This window comes from Homo sapiens, chromosome 18 (assembly GCF_000001405.40).
Source record: "Homo sapiens chromosome 18, GRCh38.p14 Primary Assembly".
Classification (NCBI taxonomy): domain Eukaryota; kingdom Metazoa; phylum Chordata; class Mammalia; order Primates; family Hominidae; genus Homo; species Homo sapiens.
Window position 1 is genome coordinate 11,610,613 of NC_000018.10, and position 27,977 is coordinate 11,638,589.

At 47.0% G+C, this 27,977-nt stretch overlaps 1 pseudogene; it reads right to left on the reverse strand.

The window, feature by feature from the left end:
• Positions 8,966-23,441, reverse strand: NPIPB1P (nuclear pore complex interacting protein family member B1, pseudogene; annotated as a pseudogene).

Sequence of the window (27,977 nt, forward strand, 5' to 3'; positions counted from 1 at the left end):
GATAGAACTTGGGAGCCTGGGGGTTGGGAGGGACAGGGATAAATAAAGGCAAAGACTGAAGACAAAAAAAAAAAAAAAAATTAAGGACCTAACCATTCAGAGGAAAAAAATGACCCGTCATGAAAATAAAAATCAATCAACAGAAGCAGACATAGAAATGATGTATTAGTGACTAGAAAAGGAGATTAAAACAGTTAGTATAAATATGCACCACATGTTCAAAATAGTAAAGCATCCACAAAATTAGAAATATAAGAGATATAAAAATGACTCAACTCAAATTTCTAGAGATGAAAAAGACAATGTCTAACATTAAAATACACTGGATAGCAAATAACAACTTGGATGAATCTCCAGGGAATTATGCTTGTGGGGAGAAACAGTCCCAAAACATTACAGTATAATTCTATTGACAAAACATTTTGAAATGGCAAAATTTCAGGAATGGAGAACAGATCAGTGGTTGTCAGGACTTAGAGATGAAAGAGGTGGTAGAGGGGCAAGAGAGAGGTGGCTGCAATTATAAGAGGACAGTACAAAGGGGACTTGTAGTGTTAGAACTGTTCAGTATTACAACTATGGTGGTGAATACATGAACCTGCACAGGTGATCAAATTGTATGCAACGTAATAGACACAGATAGAGACACCTACACACAGGGTGCAAGTAACACCAGGAATCTCTGGATAACATTGGTACATTGTATCAATGTCAGTATCCTGGTTGTGATATTACAGTCAACCCCCTGTAGCCTGAGGTTCTGCATCTACTGATTCAAACAACTACAGATGGAAAATATGTGAAGAATAAAGCAATAAAAAATAATATAATCAAAAACCAATACAGCATAACAGCTGCCATACATAGCCTTGACATTACATTAGGTATTAAAAGTAATCTAGAGATGATTTAAAGTATACAGGAGGATGTGGGTAGGTTATATGCAAATACTATGCCATTTTATATCAGGGACTTGAGCATCCATGGATTTTGGTATCTGCGAGGGTCCTGGAACTAATCCTGCTTGGATACTGAGGGATGTCCCTATAGTACAACTTAGCAAAATGTTACCATTGATGAAAACTGGGCAAAGCATACAAATGATCTGTATTATCTCTAACAATAACATATAAATCTAGGGCCGGGCGTGGTGGCTCACACCTGTAATCCCAGCACTTTGGGAGGCCGAGGCGGGCAGATCATGAGATCAGGAGATTGAGACCCCCATCCTTGCTGACATGGTGAAACCCTGTCTCTACTAAAAATACAAAAAATTAGGCAGGTGTGGTGGTGGGCGCCTGTAGTCCCAGCTACTCCGGAGGCTGAGGCAGGAGAATGGTGTGAACCCGGGAGGCGGAGCTTGCAGTGAGCAGAGTTTGCGCCACTGCACTCCAGCCTGGGCGCCAGAGTGAGACCGTGTCTTAAAAAAAAAAAAAAAAAAGAACAAAGTACCAGTTAACTGTAGGTCTACATCAAGCCATCTAGTAAACATACCATTTAATTCACAAAAAAAAAGTGGAGCTCTCTGACGGGACATAAAAAATACGTTAGCAAGTAATGGCCAAAAATTTTCTAAATTTCATGAAAACTATTAACCCAGAGATCTAAGAAGCTCAATGATGTCTCACACCCCTATGGGTCTTTTCAATGAAAACACAATGCCATATTGGCATGAAGGTAAATCTATAGATCAATGAAATGTAAAAAAGACTCTGGAAATAGAAAATTGGAGGCAAAGTAATGTGGAAAAGAATAATCTTTCCAACCAATGCTGGATTGATAGAAAAGCTGTATGCAAAAATAAATGAATAACTCTCAACCCTTACACTTCACACCATACACAAAAATTAACTTAGAATGGATAAAGGATCTAAAGGTAAAACTAAAAACTGTAGAACTTCTGGAAGAAAATAAATTCTTAGTAACCTGTAAATAGCATGGGTTTCCTAAACAGAGTATCAAAAGTTGGAACTACTACAGAAACAGAATTATAGACTTCATTACAGTTAAGATCTTTTCATCTGCAAAATACATTGTCTCTCCTCTCTGTCTCTATGGACATGCCTATCTGGATATTTCCTATAATAGGAATAACAGCGTGTGACCTTTTATGACTGGCTTCTTTCATGTAACATAAAGTTTTCAAGTTCATCCATGTTGCAGCCTGCATCAGTGCTTCATTTCTTTTCATGGCCAAATAATATTCCACTGCATGCATACACTACATTTTATTTATTCATTCATCTTGATAGACATTTAGACTGTTTCCACTTTTTGGCTGTTGTGGATAATGCTTCCATGAATATTCATGTACAAGTGCCTGTGTGCACCTATGTTTTCAATTCTCTTGGATTTATGTCTAGAAGTGGAATTGCTGGGTGTGAACACCATTTCAAATATTGTTGAAATATTGTATTCACTGATTTATGTAATAGCTATTGCTGTGAAAAGATTAAAGCAAAAAGTGGAAGCTGGCTTTAAAAAAAAAAAAAGAAAGAAAATGAAAAGACCAGCCAACACCTCTGCACGGCTGCCCAGTCTGGGATGTGAGGAGCGCCTCTGCCCGGCCAACCCATCTGGGAGGTGAGGAGTGCCTCTGCCCGGCCGCCCCGTCTGGGATGTGAGGAGCGTCTCTGCCCAGCCGCCCATTGTCTGGGAGGTGAGGAGCACCTCTGCCCGGCCACCCATTGTCTGGTTGGTGAGGAGCGCCTCTGCCCAGCCGCCACCCCGTCTGGGAGGTGAGGAGAGCCTCTGCCTGGCCGCCCATCGTCTGGTAGGTGAGGAGCACCTCTGCCCGGCCGCCACCCCATCTAGGAAGTGAGGAGCGTCTCTGCCTGGCCGCCCATTGTCTGGGAGGTGAGGAGCGCCTCTGCCTGGCCGCCACCCCATCTGGGAGGTGAGGAGCGCCTCTGCCCAGCCGCCACCCTGTCTGGGAGGTGAGGAGCGCCTCTGCCCGGCCGCCCATCGTCTGGGAGGTGAGGAGCGCCTCTGCCCGGCCACCCATCATCTGGTAGGTGAGGAGCGCCTCTGCCTGGCCGCCACCCCATCTAGGAAGTGAGGAGCGTCTCTGCCTGGCCGCCCATCGTCTGGGAGGTGAGGAGCACCTCTGCGAGGCCGCCACCCCATCTGGGAGGTGAGGAGTGCCTCTGCCCGGCCGCCACCCTGTCTGGGAGGTGAGGAGCGCCTCTGCCTGGCCGCCCATCATCTGGGAGGTGAGGAGCACCTCTGCCCGGCCACCCATCGTCTGGTAGGTGAGGAGCGCCTCTGCCCGGCCGCCACCCCATCTAGGAAGTGAGGAGCGTCTCTGCCTGGCTGCCCATCGTCTGGGAGGTGAGGAGCGCCTCTGCCCGGCCGCCCCATCTGGGATGTGAGGAGCGCCTCTGCCCAGCCGCCACCCCGTCTGGGAGGTGACGAGCGCCTCTGCCGGGCCGCCACCCCGTCTGGGAGGTGAGGAGCACCTCTGCCCGGCCACCACCCTGTCTAGGAAGTGAGGAGCATCTCTGCCTGGCCGCCCATCGTCTGGGAGGTGAGGAGCGCCTCTGCCCGGCCACCCCATCTGGGATGTGAGGAGCACCTCTGCCCGGCTGCCACCCCATCTGGGAAGCGAGGAGCACCTCGGCCCGGCCACCACCTCTTGTGGGAAGCGAGGAGCGCCTCACCCTGGCTGCCCCGTCTGGGAGGTGAGGAGCGCCTCTGCCCGGCCATCCCATCTGGGATGTGAGGAGCACCTGTGCCCAGCCACCCCGTCTGGGATGTGAGGAGCGCCTCTGCCTGGCTGCCCCGTCTGGGAGGTGAGGAGCACCTCTGCCCGGCCGCCCCATCTGGGAGGTGAGGAGCGCCTCTGCCCGGCCACCCCGTCTGGGAGGTGTACCCAACAGCTCCGAAGAGACAGCGACCATCAAGAACAGGCCATGATGACGATGGTGGTTTTGTAGAAAAGAAAAGGAGGAAATGTGGAGAAAAGAAAGAGAGAACAGATTGTTACTGTGTCTGTGTAGAAAGAAGTAGACATAGGGGACTCCATTTTGTTCTGTACTAAGAAAAATTCTTCTGCCTTGGGATGCTGTTGATCTATAACCTTACCCCCAACCCCATGCTCTCTGAAACATGTGCTGTGTCCACTCAGGGATAAATGGATTAAGGGCGGTGCAAGATGTGCTTTGTTAAACAGATGCTTGAAGGCAAAAAAAAAAAAAAAAAAAGGGAGCAGGCTACTAAAAATACAAAATTAGCCAGGTGTGGTGGCGTATGCCTGTAATCCCAGCTACTCGGGAGGCAGAGGAGGAGAATCGCTTGAACCCAGGAGGCGGAGGCTGTGGTGAACCGAGATCGCACCACTGCACTCCAGCCTAGGCAACAAGAGCGAAACTCCATCTCAAAAAAAAAAAGGAAACCGCATCTCTACTAACAATACAAAAAGTAGCTGGGCAAGGAGCTAGGTGATTAAGGTGATTATAGTACCAGCTACTCAAGAGGCTGATGCAGGAGAATCACTAAACCGCATCTCTACTAAAAATACAAAAATTAGCCGGGCAAGGAGCCGGGTGACTATAGTACCAGCTACTCAAGAGGCTGATGCAGGAGAATCACTTGAACCCAGGAGGCGGAGTTTGCAGTGAGTTGAGATTGCACCACTGCATTCCAACCTGGGCAACAGTGCGAGACCCTGTCTCAAAAGAAAAAAATAATATAAAGTGACCAGGTGTGGTGACTCACACCTGTTATCCCACCACTTTGGGTGGAAGCAGGAGGATCACTGGAGCCCAGAAGCTTGAAACCAGCCTAGGCAACATAGTGAGACCCTGTCTCTATATTAAACACACACACACATGCACACACACACACACACACACACAAAGGCAGCCAGACTATGCACTAGGAACTGCCCTGGGAATCCCTTGGCGTTCTCACAACAATCCCATTTCACAGATGAAGAAACCAAGGCACAGAAATATTAAGTAACGTGTCCAGGTGCGGTGGCTCACGCCTATAATCCCAGTACTTTGGGAGGCTGAGGCAGGCAGATCACGAGGTCAGGAGTTCGAGACCATCCTGGCCAACATGGTGAAACCCTGTCTCTACTAAAAATACAAAAATTAGTTGGGTGTGGTGGCAGGTGCCTGTAATTCCAGCTACTCAGGAAGCTGAGGCAGGAGAATTGCTTGAACCCGGGAGGCGGAGGTTGCAGTGAGCCAAGATCACACCACTGCACTCCAGCCTGGGTGACAGAGCAAAACTCCGTCTGAAAAAAAAAAAAAAAAAGAAGAAGAAATACTAAGTAACTTGTCTGAGGCCACTTAGTTACCAAGACGTGGGAGCTGGGACTTGAACCCAGGCAGTCTGGCTGGATTCATGCCTGCAGCCTCTGCACTCCTGCTACTTACTGTGTGAGAAGCACCTGTTCTGTGGAAGGTTGTGGGCTGAGATCTTTCCATGAGTTCCACTCATTTACCCCCAAGCCTGTTCTTAAAGACGGGCATGACAGTTATGCCCATTTTACAGATGGGGCCCTGAGGCTCACAAGGGCACACCACTCGCCCATTTCCACAAAGCTATAGCTCGTTAGCAGAGGGCAGAATTCGGCCGCCTCTCCCCTAGCTCGAAGGCTGTGATTGACACAGAGGTTTTTTTTTTTGTTGTTGCTGTTTGTTCCTTTTTCTTTTTTTTTGAGACAGGGTCTTGCTCTGTCATCCCGGCTGGAGTGCAGTGGTGCGATCTCAGCTCACTGCAAACTCTGCCTCCAAGATGCAAATGATTCTCGTGCCTCAGCCTCCCAAGTAGCTGGAATTACAGGTGTGCACTACCACGCCCAGCTGTTTTTTGTAGAGATGGGGTTAGTAGAGATTTGTTTAATAGAGATGGGGTTTCACCATGGTCTCTGCTAAACCCTGTCTCTACTAAAAATACAAAAATTACCCAGGCGTGGTGGCACATGCCTGTAGTCCCAGCTACTCAAGAGGCTGAGGCAGGAGAATAACTTGAACCTGAGAGGTGGAGGTTGCAGTGACCCAAAATCATGCACTCTAGCCTGGGGTCTCGCTTTTGCCCAAGTTAGAGTGCAGTGGCACAATCACAGTGGCTCACTGCAGCCTCAAACTCCTGGGCTGAAGGGAATCCTCCCACCTCAGCCTCCCAAGTAGCTAGGACTATAGGCATGTGCCATCCTGGCGAGTTAATTTTTTGTGTGTTTTTATTCTCTCGAGACAGAGTCTTGCTCTGTTGCTCAGGCTGGACTGCAATGGCGTGATCTTGGCTCACCGCAACCTCCACCTCCTGGGTTCAAGCAATTCTCCTACCTCAGCCTCCTGAGTAGCTGGGATTACAGGTGCGTGCCACCATGCCTGGCTAATTTTGTATGTTTAGTAGAAACAGGGTTTCGCCGTGTTGGTCAGGCTGCTCTGGAACTCCTGACCTCGTGATCCACCTGCCTCGGCCTCTCAAAGTGTTGGGATTACAGGCATGAGCCACTGAGCCTGGCCTGGTGAGCTAATTTTTAAATTTGTTATAGAGACAAGAGAGACAAGAGTCTCTCTTATGTTGCCCAGGCTGGTCTCGACCCCCTGGCCTCAAGTGATCCTCCCACCTCAGCCTCCCAAAGTGCTGGGATTACAGATGGGTGTCACTGCACCTGGCCTCTGAGGAGGATTTCATTATAAACCTGCCCTGAAGGGAGGGAATCCAGTTTTACGAGAGGGTGTAGCCTGGTGAGGCCTGGATGACCTCCGGAGGCAGGGGCTTGTGCCTGGGCTGAGGCCTAAGGCTCAATGGGCAGACATGAAGTTGCCCCAGGCAGAGGGTACAGTGTGGGCAAAGTCAGGAAGTTGCAGGGCTTGGATCACTCCAGGAAGAGAGAGGAGTCATATGTCACAGGAGCTCGAGACCCAGAGAGTGAGGCAGGCAGGCAGGCAGGGACCAAGCTTGGGCACAGCCAGGAAGGCAGGACAGGGCATGGTGGGGCCAATGGAATCATTACCCAAGTCGGGGATTTTCAGGGAAACAGCTTAGATAAGGCCAGGCGTACAGTAGCTCCCACCTGTAATCCCAGCATTTGGGGAGGCTGAGGTAGGAGGACTGCTTGAGCCTGGGAGTTCGAGACCAGCCTAGGCAACATAGTGAGACCCCATATCCACAAAAAATTTAAAAAAGGAGTTTGTGTTCCTGTAGTAGCATAGTTGGGAGGTTGAGGTGGCAGTATCACTTGAGCCCGGGAGATCAAGGCTAAAGTGAGCTGATTGAGCCATTGCACTCCAGCCTGAGCGACAGAGAGATACGCTGTCTCAAAGGAAATACAAATTAAAAAACCAGCCGGGCATGCTGGCGTGTGCCTGTAGTCTCAGCTACTTGGGACACTGAAGTGGGAGGATCGCTTGAGCCCAGGAGTTCAAGGCTGCCGTGAGCTATGATTGTGCCTCTGCAGTCCAGCCTGGGTGACAGAGAAAGACCCTGTCTCTTAAAAAAAAAAAAAAAAAAAAAAACTTAGATAAGAGGATGCTGTGCCTCCCTGGGGGTCTTCAGTCACCCATGGTCCTGGCAAGAGAGGAGGGCCAGGAGAGAGCTTCACCCACTTGCTGTCCTGCCCATGTGACATCCGCAGGTGCTGCCATGGCCACAACTGTTGTTACACTCGAGCTGAGGAGGCCGGCAGCAGCCCCAAGACAGAGTGCTACTCCTGGCAGTGCGTCAATCAGAGCGTCCTGTGCGGTGAGAGCCCAGCAGCACCATGCCACCCACCCCGAGTATCCCCTGGGCACCCTGGCATAGCCAGATGACTTCCGTGCCCCTGTTGCAATAACCACTGCTTCCAAGTCTCTATAGACCACCCCTTGGGTATATCTAATGTAAGTGATATTTATTTTATTTATTTTTTGAGTCAGAGTCTCACTCTGTCACCCAGGCTAGAGTGTGCTGATGTGATCTTGGCTCACTACAACCTCTGCCTCCTGGGTTCAAGCGATTCTCATGCCTCAGCCTCCCAAGTGGCTGGGACTACAGGCATGCACCATCACGCCCAGCTAATTTTTGTATGTTTTTCAGTAGAGGTGGGGTTTCACCAAGTTGGCCGGGCTGGTCTCAAACTCCCCACCTCAAGTGCTCTGCCCACCTCGGCCTCCCAAAGTGCTGGGATTACAGGCATGAGTCGTGGTGTCTGGCCCTAATGTGAGTGATCTTTAACAATGAGGACTTGAAAAAGAAAACCCTGAAGAAACCTAATTCTTTGATGTCTGGATGACAAGGAAGAAGATAGAAATGGCACCAGATAATAAACAGTGTAAATGTTTATCAGAAAGAGGCTGGTGGTCGGGACCAGTAGGAGGATCGCTTGAGTCCAGGAGTGCATCTCTACAAAAAAGTTAAAGGATTTTTTAACGTTGGCCAGGCGTGGTGGCACACATCTGTGATCCCAGCTACTTGGGAGGCTGAGGCAGGAGGATTGCTTGAAGCCCAGGAGGTTGAGGCTGCAGTGAGCTGTGATCGAGCCACTGCACTCCAGCCTGGGTGACAGAGCAAAACCCAGTCTCAAAAATAATAATAATAATAATAATAATAATAATAATATTTTACATAACCAACCACTTCTAAAGATTAAAAAAAACCCTACAATTAAAAACCTCAGGTCCCTCAGGCAATCATACCAGATATTGAAACAAAGCAATAACATAAGGACTGCAGTATTTATTTTATTTTTATATTATTTATTTATTCTTTGTTAGTTTGTTTTTAGAGTGTGGGTTTTGTTTTATTTTTTGATTTTTTTCTTTTTTTCGACCCATGGATTTATTCTTGTTGCCCAGGCTTGAGTGCAATGGCGTGTTCTCAGCTTACTCAACCTCCGCCTCTTGGGTTTGGGTAATTGTTGTGCCTCGGCCTCCCTCTGCCTCTTGGGCTTGGGTGGTTGTTACACCTCATCCGCCCTCCACCTCTTGGGTTTGGGTGGTTTTTCTGCCTCGGCCTCCTGAGTAGCTAAGGGAGGAGTCTTGAGATTATCATCCACTGAGGGTGGAAGAGGAGAGGGTGGAAGAGGGGCAAGGAGACACTCCTTGAGATTATCATCCACTGAGGGTGGAAGAGGAGAGGGTGGAAGAGGAGCAAGAGGACACTCCTTGATATTATCATCCACTGAGGGTGGAAGGGGACGAAGGAGACATTCGGGAGGTGTCTTGAGGCTCAGGGAGTTATCAGTTATAGAATGTTGTTGAGTTGGAGGAGGTGGCTGGCGGCCCATCCTGTTTTTTAAAGTTTCAGCTGTGAGGTAGGGCCAGTAGGGCAATCCTGAAGAATGACGATGCTCCGCTGCCACCATTCTGACCTGTAGGGCCGAAGAAGGGAATGTTTTCACACATATTCATTTGATGGACAAAATTACCGCCACCAACACGGTCTGCACCTTCTGTTGCTTGGTGATAGATTTTTGCACCTTTCCATCCTCCAGGTTTCAAAATAGCAGTATCAGTGTCATAATATCACCCTTCCACTGAGTACTGCCGACAGCTGGGGGGTAAAGAAAAGTCATTGGGACACACTGTTGTCTCCACATGCCACTGTGTCTGTCTGCAAATGTAGGCAGGCTGGGGTCCTGCCCCAGGGAAGACAGAGTCATAGCAGAGTAATAAAGAAGCATGTTTGAGACACAGGAGTGTCTATGTCTATCCTCATTCCTCCCTCACAGCCATCACCAGAGCATGTTTCTTGCACCAGGTCAACAGACAGTAAGAGAGGCATGAAAAGCCCATTGTCCACACATGTTGCAGCTTCTTTTTGGAGAATGTTTTCCAGGCCTTTTATGTTCTGTCTCTGATTCTCAGAACTCTGCAAGGTCAGTGTGACCACCCTGCTCCAAATCTAAGAAAACAGAGGTTTCCAGAGGAAGGAGAAATTGTGCCCAGGGTCACACAGCTTGCAAGAGGCAGAGTGGAAGTTGATTCCAGCTCTGCCTGCAGGACCCTCTCATTTCCCCTCTGTTTCCCTTCTTGACAAAGGATCTTCTTCACTCTGGAGGTGCCACCCATGAGAACAAAGAGCTCTGGAGAGATGTGGATTCCTGAAGAGCTGCAGGGGAACTGGGAGAGGGTTTTCTGACAGAACAATCTTACCTCAAGAAGTCAGTTGGGCATGGCTGTAATATTTCTTTTCACTCCCAGGTAATACCAAATTGTAAGTGCACTAGGACATAAAGAATACTTTTGTCCATGGAAAAATGAGGTGGGAATTCTAAACAAAGCAAGTTTTAAAACTGTGTTTCACTTCAAGTGTACAAGTCCCATCACGTGTAATCATAGGACTCGGCAGCTTTTGAAGGTACAGAGGCCACACAAGAACCAGCTTAGCTGAGCATCATTTAAGGCCTTCATTTGGAATTGTCCCTGTGGGTAATAAGTTACATTCACTCTTCACTAATTTACAGTCAGGGCCCATTTGTTATTACAAATACGGAACCTCTGACACTTAGAATATTAGATCAGGGGCCCCACTGGGTGGGGATGAAGGTGTTTTTGCGCAACACGGTTACCAACAGGGATGGGACTGTGAGGCTTGTAGGCAGCCCTTCTCTCTGCCATCTCCCTCTGCAGGGCTTGAGCACAGAGCTGTAGGGAGAAAAATGTATCCATGTCCTGACCTGGCAGACTATGTCCAAAAGCAAGGAAAACAAGCAAACTTACCCAGTTGCAAAGAGGCTTTCTTGCAGAAGGGGGGATCTGAAAAAGCCAATACATGAGAAATTGAATGTTGAGAGAGTCTAAGGGCCGTGGCATCATCTGCATCAGCACTGAACTATCCTGCAACTGCGGGGAGGAGGCTCCTTACTTTGCGTTTGTGGTAGTCCTCTGCCCGCCGCCACAACTCTTGCACACGTTGAAACATTTTCCTATGGATTACAATCACTTTCATCAGATAAAGCACCACTTTCAGGATGATTTTAAATAATCTGCCATGTTTCTGTTATCCTCACAACTGTACCCTTACACAATCTATCTATACCTAGAAAACGTATTTCAGATGGCTATAAGAGTACAGTCTGAGCCGGTCACGGTGGCTGACGCCTGTAATCCCAGCAGTCTGGGAGGGCGAGGCGGATGGATCACGAGGTCAGGAGATTGAGACCATTGTGGCTAATATGGTGAAACCCCTTCTCTACTAAAAAGACAAAAAATTAGCCAGGCGTGGTGGCAGGCACCTGTAATCCCAGCTACTCGGGAGGCTGAGGCAGGGGAATCACTTGAACCTGGGAGGCGGAGGTTGCAGTGAGCCAAGATCACGTCATTGCACTCCAGCCTGGGTGACACAGCGAGACTCCATCTCAGAAAAACAAAAACAAAACAAAAACAAAAAAACAGTACAGTCTGATCCAAACTGTTGTTATATTGATTCCTCCTCTTGCTTACTGCCTGCTGACTTCTGAGATGATAGTTTCCTTCCCCATTCTCAGTATATCCCTAATTCATCCTTCATTGAGCATCTTTTATCATAAAGCTGTATTCTCTTTGTATTAATATCCTTACCGTGTTTCACAGGGCAGAAACAGCTGGGCTTATAAACAGGCATAGTCCTTTTGAAGGATGTGGTTGATCCTACAACAACACACTTTCCTAAGGATGACAACAACTCACCCCACCCCTAGAATGGCTGGTATGAACCGAGTTTCCACACAGTCTAGCTGGCAATGGGGTCAGGAGACGTTTTGCTACTTCACATCTTTTGGTCACTGGTAAATATTAAGGTACTTTGTTTTCTGTTTTGTGAACTCTCTCTCTCTCTCTCTCGATATGTCTTCTGACCATTTGTTTCTATTTCTGCATTTACTGGGTCTAAACACTGTACAGAGGTTAAAAACAACACTCCAATGGGCGTTTCCCAAGAGGGTGGGGTTCAGTTTCTGAACTCACTTGTAGGTGTGTATTTCTTTCATATCCAATTTCCCATTTTCCTCTGCCTCTGATACCTGCCTCTCCTTTTCTGCATGCTCACATTCTTTCATGCTTAGTTTCCTCAGATTAGAAGGGAGAGAAATGCACACACATGATCCACCAGCCCGTGTGGGATTCCCTCTGCCCTTCTGGCATCTGAAGGCTGTGATTCAAAGATCCCCCCTGCAACCTTCCCACAAATGAACCAACTGATTCTCACAACCGAAGGGAGAATTGACACCTCCCATTGAGGGACAAAAAAAAAGTCACACTCTGGCCTGCTGGCAAGTCACCTGTCATTTCCAGCTCATCTTCATAGTTCCATAGTTAGTCCTATTCTTTAGTAAATATAAAGACTATTAAAAGCTTCTATGAGGTGCACTATGTGTGTCTCTGGGGTCAGTCTTGTGCTTGACACAGCGAAAGCTCATTTTAGTTCAGTGTGAAAAACCAGACCTCACCAATTCATCACAACTAACTCCATCGGAAGCAGAGGATTGCTCCTCATCTGACTCCTCCTGTGTGAGACCTGATTCTCAGTCAGAGGCTGATGCCGGAACTGAGACCATCAGCCATAGAGAGATCCTTCCAGAATATGGTGTCATTAACCCCGCAGTTCACTACTGCACTTTGCCATGATTCAGGACTGGAACTCTTGTGATCGACTTTAAAGATCCTGGTTGAGAGAAAAGGCAATCTGAATGCTGGGCACATCTATTGAATTACAAATGATTGGAATGGCTCCTAAGTCAGGGTGTTATGTCCTGAAAATAGGTGACAACGGCAAACCATCCACCCTGGTGTTGACTGACTTTAACAAGGTTCAGTTCACAGAGATTGAGGGCAGAAAAAGGAAATGGCCTAAAGAGGGTAAGTTTGCTGTGTTGCCCTCACACCACTTGATTCATGGTCCTGATCCTAAGGATCTCACCTGATACTTGGTTTTATAGGAAGGATGTGTAAAATTCCCAGAACGCTAGGAAACAGGGACTAAAACACTTCAAAGAGAAAGTTAATGAACTTGTTTCTGACCACAGGGCATCCTTCAGCACATGCTGTCTGGAGTGGCCTCAAACAAGGAGTGTGTGGTGAGGTGCTGAGAATGCAATGGGAGCAGGGTCCTGTCCCCACGCTAAAGAAGCTCACAGTTTAATGCAAATGAGAAGCCAGTGAGGACATCACTACTCCTGCTGTGCACTTGGGAACTAGAAACACAAAACCTGACTCTGGAGGGAAGCTAAGGAAGCATTCTACTCTTGAGTTGACATAAGTGCATCTGAAGCTTCTGATCTCCGATGAGAACAATGGGGGACACCAAACAGAATATAAAACCCATGATTGAATACATCAAATTGCTAACATGGCAGTAAACAGACATGAGGTGAAGATGGAGAAGAAGGAAACCCAGGACGAAAGTCAGCCTCGCATTTGGAACCCATTTCCCTGAGTTTCATTGCTGAATTCCAGAAGGAACTACTGAGATGCAAAGAAGCACAGCAGCTTTTGCACACATGCGTGGGATTAGATGGAAAACAAGTGGATTGAGGGTCTGCCAATGAAAGCTACCCATACTGAAGTCCACTGGCTCTGGTTGAGACCCAGAAGAGTCATGCATCAGAATAAAGGTGGACAGGAAATACCCTGGCCTTTGTAGGGACTGAGCCTGCACCGACGACCTCAATTGCAGCCTGTATGGAGGACCCCTGACCATCCCCCAGAAGTAGACTCCCATCTCTTCTGCAGCAAGATAACATGCTGCTAGGCCTCAATTCATTGCTAAATATTTTGTAACAAGTATCTCACATTTAACAAAAAAAGATCAGTCATATGGCAGCAAAATACAATGTAATATGACCAAAACATGAAAGACTGTGAAAATGAATCTGGAGGTGACCCAAGCATTGAATTCAACAATCCAGGCTGGGTGTGGTGGCTCACACTGGGAGGCTGAGGTAGGCAGATCACCTGAGGTCAGGAGTTCAAGACTAGCCTGGCCAACATGGTGAACCCCTGTCTCTACTAAAAATACAAAAATTGGGCCGGGCACCGTGGCTCACGCCTGTAATCCCAGCACATTGGGAGGCCGGAGGTGTGCGGATCATGATGTCAGGAGTTCTAGACCAGCTTGGCCAATATGGTGAAACCCCGCCTCTACTAAAAATACAAAAATTATCCGGGCATGGTGGCATATGACTATAGTCCCAGCTACTCAAGAGGCTGAGGGATAAGAATCGCTTGAACCTGGGAGGTGGAGGTTGCAGTGAGCCAAGATCATGCCACTGCACTCTAGCCTGGGTGACAGAGTGAGACTCTGTCTCAAAAAAAAAAAAAAAAAAAAAAATTGGCCAAATGTGGTGGCACACTCCTGTAATCCAAGCTACTCGGGAAGCTGAGGCAGAATTGCTTCAAACTGGGAGGCAGAGGTTGCAGTGAGCCAAGATTGCACCATAGCACTCCAGCCTGGGTGACAGAGCGAGACTCTATCTCAAAATTAAAAAAAAAAAAAAAAAAAAAAAGGCTGGCTGTGGTGGCTCACGCCTCTAATCCCAGCACTTTGGGAGGCTGAGGCAGGTGGATTACCTGAGGTCAGAAGTTCGAGACCAGCCTGGACAACATGGTGAAACCCCATCTCTAGTAAAAATACAAAAATTAGCTGGGCGTGGTGGTGGGCACCTGTAATCCCAGCTACTTGGGAGACTGAGGCAGGAGAATTGCTTGAACCCAAAAGGCAGTGAGCTGAGATTGTGCCATTGCACTACAGCCTGGGCAACAACAGCAAAGCTCCATCTCAGGAAGAAAAAAAAAAAGAGAGAGAGAGAGAGAAAGGAAAACCAATGCCAGTACTAGCAACTCCTCTTCCCCCGAAAAATGACAAACAAGAATGTAGGAAGGGAAAGGAATTATACAGCTTAAACTAATGAAGCAGAAAGGACAAACTCAATTTTGAACCCACTGAATTTGCCACAAATATTGTAGAAAATATTCTCAAGGACTTTACAGTTGTCTACTTTGATTGGCACATGGTTCATACAACAGTATTTGTGTCAAGGCACATCTTACTGGTTTTTGGCGGTCTTCCTCTTTCCATTGATTTTGTCATGATGGTTGATTTTCGTTGTCACCTTCCTCTTACGGATTTTAGCTCTAACTTTTGTTTCCACATGTCTCCATAGAGTAATGACGTCTTTCAGGCCAATTTTATTTCCTGGAAAGGAAGAAACTCTTTTCTTTGTGTGCATACAAATGGACCTCAGCCCTTGGTGAGAGTGAGGAGAGGAGAAGGTGAGAAACCTGAGGGCAAGAAGCTGTTCTTTCCCTTTCCAGGGCAAACTCATTTCCACACTATGGGGACTCCAACAGAGCCATACCTTTCTGTCTACAGCGGTTGGACCTCCAGGCTCTCTGCTGTACATCCGTGGATCCATCATGTCCATTTCGAGACCACAAGATAGTCTTCAGGAGAGACATCTAGGAAATAATAATATAAGAATGACGGCTGGGCACGGTGGCTCATGCGTATAATCCTAGTACTTTGGGAGGCCAAGGAAGGTGGATCACGGGGTCAGGAGTTCAAGACCAGCCTGGCCAAGATGGTGAAACCCCGTCTCTACTAAAAATACAAAAATTAGCTGGGCATGGCAGCGGGCACCTGTAATCCGAGCTACTCGGGAGGCTGAGGCAGAGAACCATTTGAAGCTGGGAGGCAGAGGTTGCAGTGAGCCGAGATCACACCACTGCACTCCAGCCTGAGCGACAAAATGAGACTCTGTCACACACACACACACACACACACACACACACACACACACACACACACACAAGAATGACATGAGGCTGGCACGGTGGCTCACTCCTGTAATCCCAGCACTTTGGGAGGCCGAGGCAGGCGGATCACCTGAGGTCGGGAGTTTGAGACCAGCCTCACCAACATGGAGAAAAGCTGTCTCTGCTAAAAATACAAAATTAGCCAGGCATGGTGGTGCATGCCTGTAATCCCAGCTAGTCGGGAGGCTGAGGCAGGAGAATCACTTGAACCCAGCAGGAAAAGATTGTGGTGAGCTGAGATTGTGCCATTGCACTCCAACCTGGGCAACAAAATTGAAACTCTGTCTCAAAAAAAAAAAAAAAAAAATAGGCCAGGTGCGGTAGCTCACATCTGTAATCCCAGCACTTTGGGAGGCCGAGGCGGGTGAATCACAAGGTCAAGAGATGGAGACCATCCTGGGCAACATGGTGAAACCCCATCTCTACTAAAAATACAAAAATTAGCTGAGCATGGTGATGCACGCCTGTAGTCCCAGCTACTCGGGAGGCTGAGGCAGGAGAACTGCTTGAACCCAGGAGGCAGAGGTTGCAGGAGAACTGCTTGAACCCAGGAGGCAGAGGTTGCAGTGAGCCAAGATCCCACCACTGCACTCCAGCCTGGTGACAGAGTGAGACTCCGTCTCAAAAAAAAAAAATGACATGAATATACTTCACACAACTAAACTGTACACTTCAACACGGTTAGATGGTTATTATCATCTTATAAGTATTTTACCACAGGTTAACATGTTTCACAACTTGAAAAGGAAGTAATTACCTTCAGCTCTCTGAGTTCTAGAATTTTGTAACATTTCACCCCCTGCTCCTTCCTGATCTGCACTGGAGCATCTTCCTTCTGTCCCTGCTCTACTCAGAGTTCACTTTCCCTTCCCTCACATCAGCTTCATTGAGGCTGGTTTGAACTTAACGCAAAACATTCTCACTAATGACTGAATTCCCACCAAGATTTCCATATTATCACAGTGTGCTTTTAATCTTCTAAGATATTAAATATTTGTTCTCATCATAGCTAAAATGCAATGCAAATCCCATCTCAGATGTGGGTCAGATACCTATGAATCTCCTGAGGTAGTCATTGAAATGACTTTTTTCTTGAGATGGAGTGTCACTCTCAACCATGCTGAAGTGCAGTGGCGCTACCTTGGCTCACGGCAACCTCCACCTCCCAGATTCAAGCGATTCTTGTGCCTCGGCCTCCCAAGTAGCTGGGATTACAGGTGCCTGCTACCATGCCTGGCTAATTTTTGTCTTTTTAGTAGAGATGGGGTTTCACCATGTTGGCCCATCTGGTCTTGAACTCCTGACCTCAAGTGATCCACCTGCCTCAGCCTCCCAAAGTGCTGGGATTACAGGCATGAGCCACCACACCTGGCCTGAAATAATATCTTTCAAATTCTTTGTAGAATTTGTTTTTTCCTGATTTCTGCACATAGGATAAAAAAAAAAAATCATGTACTAGGATTTCGAGAGAAGCAATGGGTAATCTAAAAAGATGAAAAGAGCAACCACGTCAATCCCACAACTACTGCTAGATTTCATAGGAAAGGTAGCTGGCCCAGTTTGGAGCTAGGAGAAATGTCAAACACATGAAGAAATGATAAGCAAAGAAATGCCATCACGCATGAATGCTTCATGGCACCCATGATGTCCCTGCTTAGGAGGTAATGGTATAGATGACTAGATGACAAGGACAAAGATGAGAGGTGTGAAGTTGTCCAAGTCCAACAGCTCAACTGAACTTTCCTAAATGGAATTGTTAAAAAGTGGTAAATTTAAAAACTTCCCCTGGCTCACGTGGTGGCTCACGCTTGTAATCCCAGCACTTTGGGAGGCTGAGGCGGGTGGATCATTTGAGGTCGGGTTTTGAGACTAGCCTGGCCAACATGGTAAAACCCCGACTCTACTAAAAATACAAAAATTTGCTGGGCATGTGGTGGGCACCTGTAATCCCAGCTACTTGAGAGGCTGAGGCAGGGGAATCGCTTGAAGCCAGGAGGTGGAGGTTGCAGTGAGCCGAGATCACACCATTATACTCCAGCCTGGGCAACAGAGGGAGACTTGTCTCGGGGGTGAGAAAAGGAAGGAAAAAAAAAAAAAGCTTCCTCCAATTTATACCGAAAATTCTCTGTTCAGGACTAAGTGGCATAGAGAATGTTAAATGTGCCTAGATATCTTCATAACTCATATATTTTCTGTTTTCTACATATCTTGAAAGGCAGTGCCAAATGACGTGTAATTATCTAGGTGGTAAAACTGAAACATACTTTATATTCCCTTGAATATAAAAAAGCATTGTGGTATTAGTACTTTTATCTTGGATCATTGTTCAGAAGGAGGTTCAGCCCTCAGACAACCACATTTTTACTGTCATGAATGGCAAGACAAAATGTAGAGCTCAACTTACCCAAAGGAAAAAAGGCTCAAAAGACAAATTATGGCACAACTTAGCAGCCAAATTCTTACCAAGTACAGACTTTTGCCATATTGATCTCTCTCCAGTTGCAAGTGGGAAAATGCACTTTGAATGATGTCATTCAAAATTACCCTGCCCAGACACACTTTTCATTGATTCTCTTGGAGGGCAGTTCTAAGAGATTCTCTGGGGCTTTCTCTGCATCATGAGACGCAGTGCAGTTCTGCCCTTCACCTTCCGGCAGTTTGTCACCTCGTCCCTATGACCTCAGAGGAACTTTGTCTCAGGCCAATTGTTTGTTCCTTGGCCTCTTTCATTTCCCCTAAAAATCATTTGCTGCCCCTCTAAATGGCCTACATCTCCATCTATCTCCCTCTCCCCTCAGAAGAGGGTGCTCTTTAAGCATCAACCATCCGGCCCTTCTAGCAGTCTCATTTTTCAGCTTGTTCCCATGTTTATGCCTGTTCTATGTTTTTCTTTTCCTGTTAAGCTGTCTGTTGTCAGCTCATTTCTGCAGTGAATCTTCAGAGAGGAGATTGGAAGCTTTCCTTCCACCCATACGATAGAACTATAAAGCAGAAGAGTTTAGAAAGAATTTCCTTTTTAAGTGACGAAACCTCATACTCCATTTGTAATAAATAGCACAAAGGTTAAAAAAGCTTATTTTTCACCAAAAGCTCTGTTGACATTCTATTAAACAAACACCGACCTATTTAATTTTTGTAATGCAAATGGCAGATATTTTCATAATTCTTATGCTAATAAATCATTTCCCTGATTTTTTGGGTAAAACCACATATTCATAATGAAGTCCAGAAACGTGAATTGTTTTATATAATTTATTCTTATTTGTGATTACAAGTATACCTCTACAGAAAGTTAGTATACTCACCCAAAGGTAAACTGTCCAGAGGATAATGAAAACTTTATAACTTCTCGGAAACGCAATAATGAAATGTAACCAAGGACTTCCACGAAAGCCAGTCCCACAATGATGATGGTCAGCCAGAGTATTGATAACCTGGAATAATAATAGTTGAAATAATGAAAAGGTCAATGACACTGACAATATTTCACTCAGAAAGAATCATCCTTAGAAACCGTCAACCTCCTCCAAAAGGTAACCACATCCCTCAGATATCACCGTGGGATTCCACTGCTACAAAAAAGAACAGAAGTTAGAAGTCACATGTTTTTCAGATGGCTAGTAGTGTTTGTAGGCATTGCCAATGTGGGGTGTTGTCTTTCTTGGTATAAAGCAGGGATATCCAATCTTTTGACTTCCCTGCCTATATTAAAAGAAGCAAAGTTGTCTTGAGCCACACATAACATACACTAACACTAACAATAGCTGAGGATCTAAAAAAAACCTCTTTTTTTTTTTTGAGACAGAGTTCCGCTCCACTCAGTCGCTCAGGCTGGAGTGCAGTGGTGCAATCTCGGCTCACTGCAACCTCCAGCTCCTGGGCTTAAGCCATTCTCCTGCCTCAGCCTCCCGAGTAGCTGAGATTACAGGTCTCTGCCACCATGCCCGACTAATTTTTGTATTTTTAGTAGAGATGAGGTTTCACCATGTTGGCCAGTCTGGCCTTGAACTCCTGACAGGCGATCTGCCTGCCTCGGCCTCCCAAAGTGCTGGGATTACAGGTGTGAGCCACCGTGCCCAGCCATTTTTTTGTTTTTGTTTTTGTTTTTGTTTGTTGTTTTTGAGATGGGGTCTCACTCTGTCACCCAGGCTGGAGTACAGTGGTGTGCTCTCGGCTCACTGCAACCTCTGCCTCTCAGGTTCAAGTGATTCTCCTGCCTCACCTCCTGAGTAGCTGGGAGTACAGGTGCCTGACAGTGCACTCAGCAAATTTTTGTATTTTTTGTGGAGATGGGGTTTTGCCATGTTGGTCAGGGTGGTCTCGAACTCCTGACCTCAGGTAATCTGCCCGCCTCAGCCTCCCAAAGTGCTGGGATTACAGGCATGAGCCACTGTACCTGGCCAAAATCTCCTAATGTTTTAAGAAAGTTTACAAATTTGTGTTGAACTGCATTCAAAACTGTCCTGGGCCATGCAGCCCGTCACTCATGGGTAAGACAAGCTAAGTATAAAGTAATTATCTTATCTTTTCTTTTCTTTTTGTTTTGAGACAAAGTTTTGCTCTGTCACCCAGGCTAGATTGCAGTGGCATGATCTCAGCTCACTGCAACCTCCGCCTCCCAGGTTCAAGCGATTCTCCTGCCTCAGCTACTGAGTAACTGGGATTACAGGCGCCTGCCACCACCCTCGGCTAATTTTTGTATTTTTAGTAGAAACAGGGTTTCACCATCTTGGCCAGGCTGGTCTCCAACTCCTGACCTCATGATCCACCTGCCTCGGCCTCCCAAAGTGCTGGGAATACAGGTGTGAGCCACTGCACCTGGCCAGTAGTTATCTTTTCTTTAAAGTTATTTACTTGTTTTTTAAATTGATGTATAACATTGGATGCATTTATTATATATCACATGGTAAAAGAATCCCTCTAAATAATACTTCTTTCTCAGATTATATGAATCTTTGTCATTTAAATCTCAGCATAAGTAAAAAAAACAATACAATGAAGAGATTACTTCATTCACAAATAAGTATCAAATTTTAGTGCTTAAAAATTAACAAGGTGGGCCGGGCGTGGTGGTTCACGCCTGCAATCCCAGCACTTTGGGAGGCCAAGGTGGGTGGACCACGAGATCAGGAGATTGAGACCATCCTTGCTAACACGGTGAAACCCATCTCTACTAAAAATACAAAAAATTAGCAGGGCATGGTGGCACGCGCCTATAGTTCCAGCTACTTGGGAGGCTGAGGCAGAAGAATCACTTGAACCCGGGAGGCAGAGGTTGCAGTGAGCCGAGATCGCACCACTGCACTTCAGCCTGGGTGACAGAGCGAGACTCTGTCTCAAAAAAAAAAAAAAAATTATCAAGGTGGAGATCATGAAAATGGCATGAATAGTGTGGGATTTCTCTAAGATTGTTGATATTAATTCCATTAGACTCTTATGTGAGTGAAGACGAAGACTTCCCCTGAGTAAGTTCAGACAGCTTGTGATAACATTTCTACGTTGATTCCTCAGGATTTAACTATATATTCTTGAAAACATCTCAATTTTAAATGTTTCTTTCAAGATGGTGAATTAAACAGAGATAGCCCTTCAACAGGTTGAACTCAGCATATGCTGAGTCTGAAATGGAAATGATGGAGTTAGAGAACCATACAACAATGGTAATGATTTCAGAAACATGGTGTTGAGCAGAACAAAGCAGACACAAAAGAGTATCTATGGCATGGCATGCATCTGTATACGCGAAATTCCAGAATAAGCAAGCTAACCTATGATAAGAAAGAGACTGGCTGGGAAGAGTGAGAGTTCACTTTCTGGGGTGACATAATAGTGTAGATCTTGGCTGGGCACGGTGGTTCACGCCTGTAATCCCAACGCTTTGGGAGGCCGAGGCGGGCGGATCACCCGAGGTCGGGAGTTCAAAACCAGCCTGGCCAACATGGAGAAACCCTATCTCTACTAAAAATACAAAATTAGCTGGGAGTGGTGGCACATGTCTGTAATCCCAGCCACTCGGGAGGCTGAGGCAGGAGAATCGCTCGAACCTGGGAAGCAGAGGTTGCGGTGAGCTGATATTGGCCCCATTGCACTCCAGCCTGGACAACAAGGGAGAAACTGTCTCAAAAAAATAAATAAATAAATAAAATAATGTAGATCTTGAAAGGGGGTCGGTTTATGCTGGTGTATGTACTTTCCAAAGTTAGTAAACTTACACTTAAGGTTATATATTTTGGCCAGGCGCGGTGGCTCACGCCTGTAATCCCAGCACTGGGAGGCTGAGGCAGGCGGATCACGAGGTCAAGAGATGGAGACTATCCTGGCGAACATGGTGAAACCCCGTCTCTACTAAAAACACAAAAATTAGCCAGGCGTGGTGGTCTACTAAAAATACAAAACTTAGCCAGGCGTTGTAATCTGAGCTACTCAGGAGGCTGAGGCAGGACAATTGCTTGAACCCCAGAAGCGGAGGTTGCAGTGAGCCGAGATCTTGCCACTGCACTCCAGCCTGGGCGACAGAGTGAGACTCTTGTCTAAAAAAAAAAAAAAGAAAAGTCATCAAACCAGATGACACAAATCAAATGACATTTCACTTTGTTTTGGTCCATTTTGTTTGTTAGAGACAAGAGTGCAGCGGGGCCATCTCGGCTCACTGCAACGTCCAGCTCCTGGGCCCAAGCGATCCTCCCACCTCAGCCTCTCCAGTAACTGGGGTAACAGGTACGCACCACCAGGCCCAACTAATCTTTTTTGGAATTTTTTGTAGAGATGGGGTTTCGCTATGATGCCCTGGCTAGTCTTCAACTCCTGGACTCAAGTGATCTGCCCACCTCGGCCCCCTAAAGTGCTGGGATTACAGGCCTGAGCTGTGTAATTTCATGCCGCGTGACACAGCCCAGTAAAAAGGAAGAAACCCCGCGGGTCCAGCGTCTACTTACACAGATGCACTGATGGCTGATAAATTCCAGCAGGAGCCCAAAGAGGAGCCAAAAGAGCATCCACCGCACCCGCATGTCCTGGTCCTCTCAGGGCGCCCTGAGGCGGCCAGGACAGAGGTGGAGGTGGCTTAGGGCAGGGGGGAAGTAAGGGAAGGGAAAGGAGGAGAAGGGGGCTGTTGGGCACCTGGAGGAGGTGGAGGAGGAGGAGAAGAAGAAAGGGGTCTGGGAAAGGATCCAGTTCAAATTAAGTTCTCAAGCGCTGGTGGAAGGTTTAGCTACAGGTCACGGAGATCAGGGAAGCAACAGGACACGCGGGGCAAGGGAGCGTGAGGCTTAGGAGCAATTAGAGGGAGACAAAAAGGTTCTGCTATCCACCAAACCTTCTTCGGTCTGGGCCCTCCCTTAGCTACCCTGGGGCTTTAGACTCCCTCTCCACCAGTCCCTGATGACTCCGGTGGTGCCTCACAATGGACAATGCCAAGTAGCGCCCGCATCATTCCAATGACCCCTCCCCCATCTCAGTCTCCCACACTCCTCCCGAAGACAGGTCCTCTCCGGAACCTTCACAAACCTGATTTCTGGTCCTCCCCAACCAGCTCCCTGTCCCTGCTTCTGGGCGCTCCTTCCTTCCTGAGCTCCCAGGGTTCCTCAAAGTCAATTTGGTGACAAAACATAAAAAACAAATGATGGCAGGATGGCAGGAAGAACCTCATACCCAAGCAGAGTGCCAGGTTTTACAGCCTCCGCTCAGCCATTCATATCCTAAGCAACAAAACATCAGCAGGATGCGGAAGGTCCCGATAGTAAACCATCTCCATCACATCCATGTAGCCATCCGTCCATCAACCTGTATCTCAGGAACAAATGTAGATACATTCATTTTAAGCATGCATGGTACATTTACAAAAATTAACCTGACTTATTTTGTTCCAGCAAATCTCAATATATTTGAGAGCAATCAAATCACACAGCATGTTTCTGATCATATAACTGTGCTAGAAGTCAATGATTAAAAGCTAATTCAAAATTATTATTTGCTCGGAAATTCAAAGTGCCCTTATAAGACATAAACACAAGAAAGAATCCAAAATGAAACAAGATTGCCTTTCAACTCAATGATAAGATCATAACATGGCAATAAAATGTCTCCCTCTGTCCTGGGAATTCCTCTTTGTGGCACAAGATTGTGTGATCTCAAATCACCCCAACCCACCTAGACATTTTAACATCCGAAACCGAGTGATGATGTCCTTATCTATATCATCTTACTGCCTGTGTGTGTGGACTTTAAATTCTGAACCCAAATGAGGGGGAGAAAACCAAGTTGACCTTCATGATTGACCTCTCAGGGATGTCCAAGGAATCTGTGCATTTCAAGAAACAAAGTTCATCAGCTTCTCTCCTAAGGTATTTGCCCACAATACCCAGAGGGCTTGGCAGCATCATGTGTGATGGGTGGGGAGCTCCAAGCAGGTGGGCAGGACCCAGGGGCCTGGTGACCAGGACAGACCCCCACTGTCCATCACCTTTCCTGGCCCTGTCCTCTGCTAAACTTCCCGCAGGCCTTCTGCCTGATCACACAGAGTATGCCCAAACTCTCTCAGGCCTCTGGCAGCTGAAAACCACTGCTTTAAATCCCTTTGCCATTTACTATGACATAAGGTTATTGTAAACAGGAAATATTCTATTGATGCTACAAATGGAAAGCCAATGCCTTTACCATAAATAGAAAAACAACCCTAAGAAGCAAGCAAAACAAAAACAAAACAGGGGCTGGGTGTGGTGGCTCATGCCTGTAATCCCAGCACTTTGGGAGGCCGAGGTGGGCGGATCACAAGGTCAGGAGTTCCAGACCAGCCTGGCCAATATGGTGAAACCCTGTCTCTAATAAAATACAAAAATTAGCCGGGTGTGGTGGTGGGCGCCTGTAGTCCCACCTACTTGGGAGGCTGAGGCAGGAGAATAGTTTGAACCCGGGAGGCAGAGTCTGCAGTGAGCCGAGATTGCACCACTGCACTCCAGCCTAGGCGACAGAGCGAGACTCTGTCTCAAAAACAGCAACAACTACAAACAAACAAAAAACAGGGTTAACAAAAGTATGGAATTCAATTCTTTTTATATGCTGCAGCCATGTTCCGGCCCTAGATTTGGCTGGGCATGGTGGTTCACGCCTGTAATCCCAGCACTTTGGGAGGCTGAGGCAGGCAGATCACGAGGTTAGGAGTTCGAGACCAGCCTGACCAACATGGTGAAACCCCGTCTCTACTAAAAATACAAAAATTAGCCAGGCATGGTGGCACAGACCTGTAATCCCAGCTACTCAGGAGGCTGAGGCAGGACAATCCCTTGGACCCGGGAGGCGGAGGTTGCAGTGAGCCGAGATCGTACCATTGCACTCCAGCCTGGGTGACAGAATGGAATGAGACTGTCTCAAAAAAAAAAAAAAAAAAAAAAAAAAAGAAGCCCTAGATTTCGGTTGTGTTGGTTGTAAAAGGAGAGACCAAGTAAGTGGGGGTTGAAGTCAGATTAGAGCAAAAGTGAATGGCAGAGAGTACTATAATGTCCATGAAGGCCTGCTAGAGTCACCGTGATCATAGCCCAAGCAGAGACAGGGAAAGGAAGATGTGAGCGGAGTTTGGGGTCTCGAACAATGGAGGTTATTCGTGCAGCCCAGGAAAGGCTCCCCAAAGCCAGGATCAACCTCCCTTGCAGGCGGTCCCTCATGGAGGCATGGCCAGGCACCTTAGATTTGAGACCAGCTATGTTGCTGCTGAGCAGCTGTGTGACCCTGGGCTGGTTTCCTTCCATACAATGGGAGTGCCAATGGCTGCATGCATGCAAAGACCGTCTGAGGATAGGAGGAAGCAATCTGTTGAGCACCCGTGTACCTGAGTGTCATCACCTCCCAAGGGCATCCTTCGTTCCAGAGCTGGCACCTTGGAAGGCCCTTGGTCACTGAAGGCAGTGATGATGGTAACAGCAGTAAATCATCATTTATGGCTGATGAGGGAAGGCCAGGGGTAGGGCTCCTAGGTCCTGGATAAGAATGAGGGTCTGGGCACTCCTGGGGACAGCTGAGTGGTAGGACTCCTGGGTCCCCAGAGGGCAGGTCCATCTTCAGTGGCATTGGGCCTAGGCTGGGATGCTGAGTTATCCACTGGAGCATCAGCAGTACAGGCAGGCACAGAGGCAGTGGATCCATCGGAGGTGGCAGGTGTAGGATCGTCTGGTGAGCAAGTAGAGTCACCAAGTCTGGCTGACCACTACCCCCACTACCCCCACTATCCCCACAGACGATGCCCTGTCCCTTGCCTCATGCTCCGGCAGGGTACAGGCTCGCACCTGGGGCCTCATGGAGCATCTCTCTAAGACCTCTGTGTCCTGGTCATTGAATGGGCACTTGAGTCACCCAGGGCCATTGGAACAAAGAGGAAGAATCAGGCCCCACGATGTTTTGGGAGAGTGTTTAGCACAGGAAAATGCACAGAATACATGCACGACACGGGGGCACTGTCAGTGTGGGAGCAATGGTTTACAACCTCCAGCCCTAATCTGAGCACTCTCACCTGTGCAATCTGAAAGGAACAGGAGACTTGTAGGAAAGACAGTGCCTGGATTTCACTTAAAGGAACTAAAATGTTGGAATTTTTACTCTTGATATCCTTCCAAATCAACTCTCTCAATGTTCCCATCCTCAAAACTATCATATGGGGTAACTGAGGCAGTCAGAGGTTTACTGACTCAATGTCACTCAATTGATTCTGAGTTCACTGCTGATTACATCCGACCAAACTGCTTTTTCTGAAGTCTACTCTGTTTAATCATGCTGGTGATGATTTTGTGCAGCTCTGGGACAAACTCCACCTGGCTGAAGATAAAGCAAATCTGCGGTGACTTAGTCCTCCTGTCATTTCCCATCAGTTCCCCACTCTCCTCCTCTGCCCCTCCACAGTCTCCCATGCAGGCTGACACTATATGACGGCCGTAATGGAGTCCACCGGGTATTTCAGTTTCTCTCCTGGGCCACTTGAAAGTGGATGTACCCATGGGATTTGCTTTGACCCAGGAGATGTGAGTGGAAGTGAAGCGTGTCACCTCGAGGCAAAAGAGTTGGGAGCCATTGAGACTGGCCACCCTCTCCTTCATCTCTTAGGGCAGCTGACAGCTCCCATATGGAGGCTGCTCCTTTATTCTTGTGGCAGGATGAGGGCATGTGGGGCACAGGGCACAGGAGAGCCATGGAGGATGTGCAGCATGGGCAGGAAAAGAGCCTTCAGTGGTGTACATTTCCATCATTTGGGGCTGTTTGTTACCTACAGTGATACCTAGCCCATCCTAGCAGGCATGCACCATCTACCCCACACTCTGTGATGCAGACTAGCCTGCCGTCAGAACATGAACTGGTGGTCAGACACACGTAGGTTTCAGTTCCAGCTCTGCCTCTTATTGACTGTAACCTCAGGCTTAACTTTCAGTCTCTGAGCCTCAGTTTCAACTCTGTAAAATGAGGTGGCTATACCATCTCAGGTTGCAGAGGGAATTAAATGAAATATAAGTGCATGTAGAGCATTGAACCCAGGGCCTGGCACACACAGTGAGTACTCAATGTTAGCCATGTAGCTTCATAATGCATACTGATTGTCAATATTCAGACAATGCAGTAAAGTATTATCAAAAATAAAAGTAAACTTATTTGCATATGTATTCTTTCAATCTTTATTTTTAAACAGGGTAAAACTATGCATATTCTTTCATAGCCAGTGTTTTTCTCTTCATAGTATATTGTTAAAATAATTTTATCTTGGACCGGGTGCAGCGGCTCACACCTATAGTCCCAGCACTTTGGGAGGCCACGGTGGGCAGATTCCGAGGTCAGGAGTTGACACGAGCCTGGCCAATATGGTGAAACCCCATCTCTACTAAGAATACAAAAATTAGCTGGGCATGATGGTGCACACCTGTAGTCCCAGCTACTCAGAGGCTGAGGCAGAGGAATTGCTTGAACCCGGGAGACGGAGGTTGCAGTGAGCCAAGATTGTGCCATTGCACTCCAGCCTGGGCGACAGAGTGAAATTCTGTCTCTCTCTCTATATATATATATGTGTGTGTGTGTGTGTGTGTGTGTGTGTGTGTGTGTGTGTGTGTGTGTGTGTGTATCTATATAAATCTCAAAAATAAAAGATCATTTTTGAGATTATCATTTTAAAAGACAAGATAATGTTCAACTTAATGACTAATTTAATTATTACTATTGGACTTTTTGTAGACTGCACAGAGCATTCAAAACAAATGAAGGAGAATAAAAAATATGTAT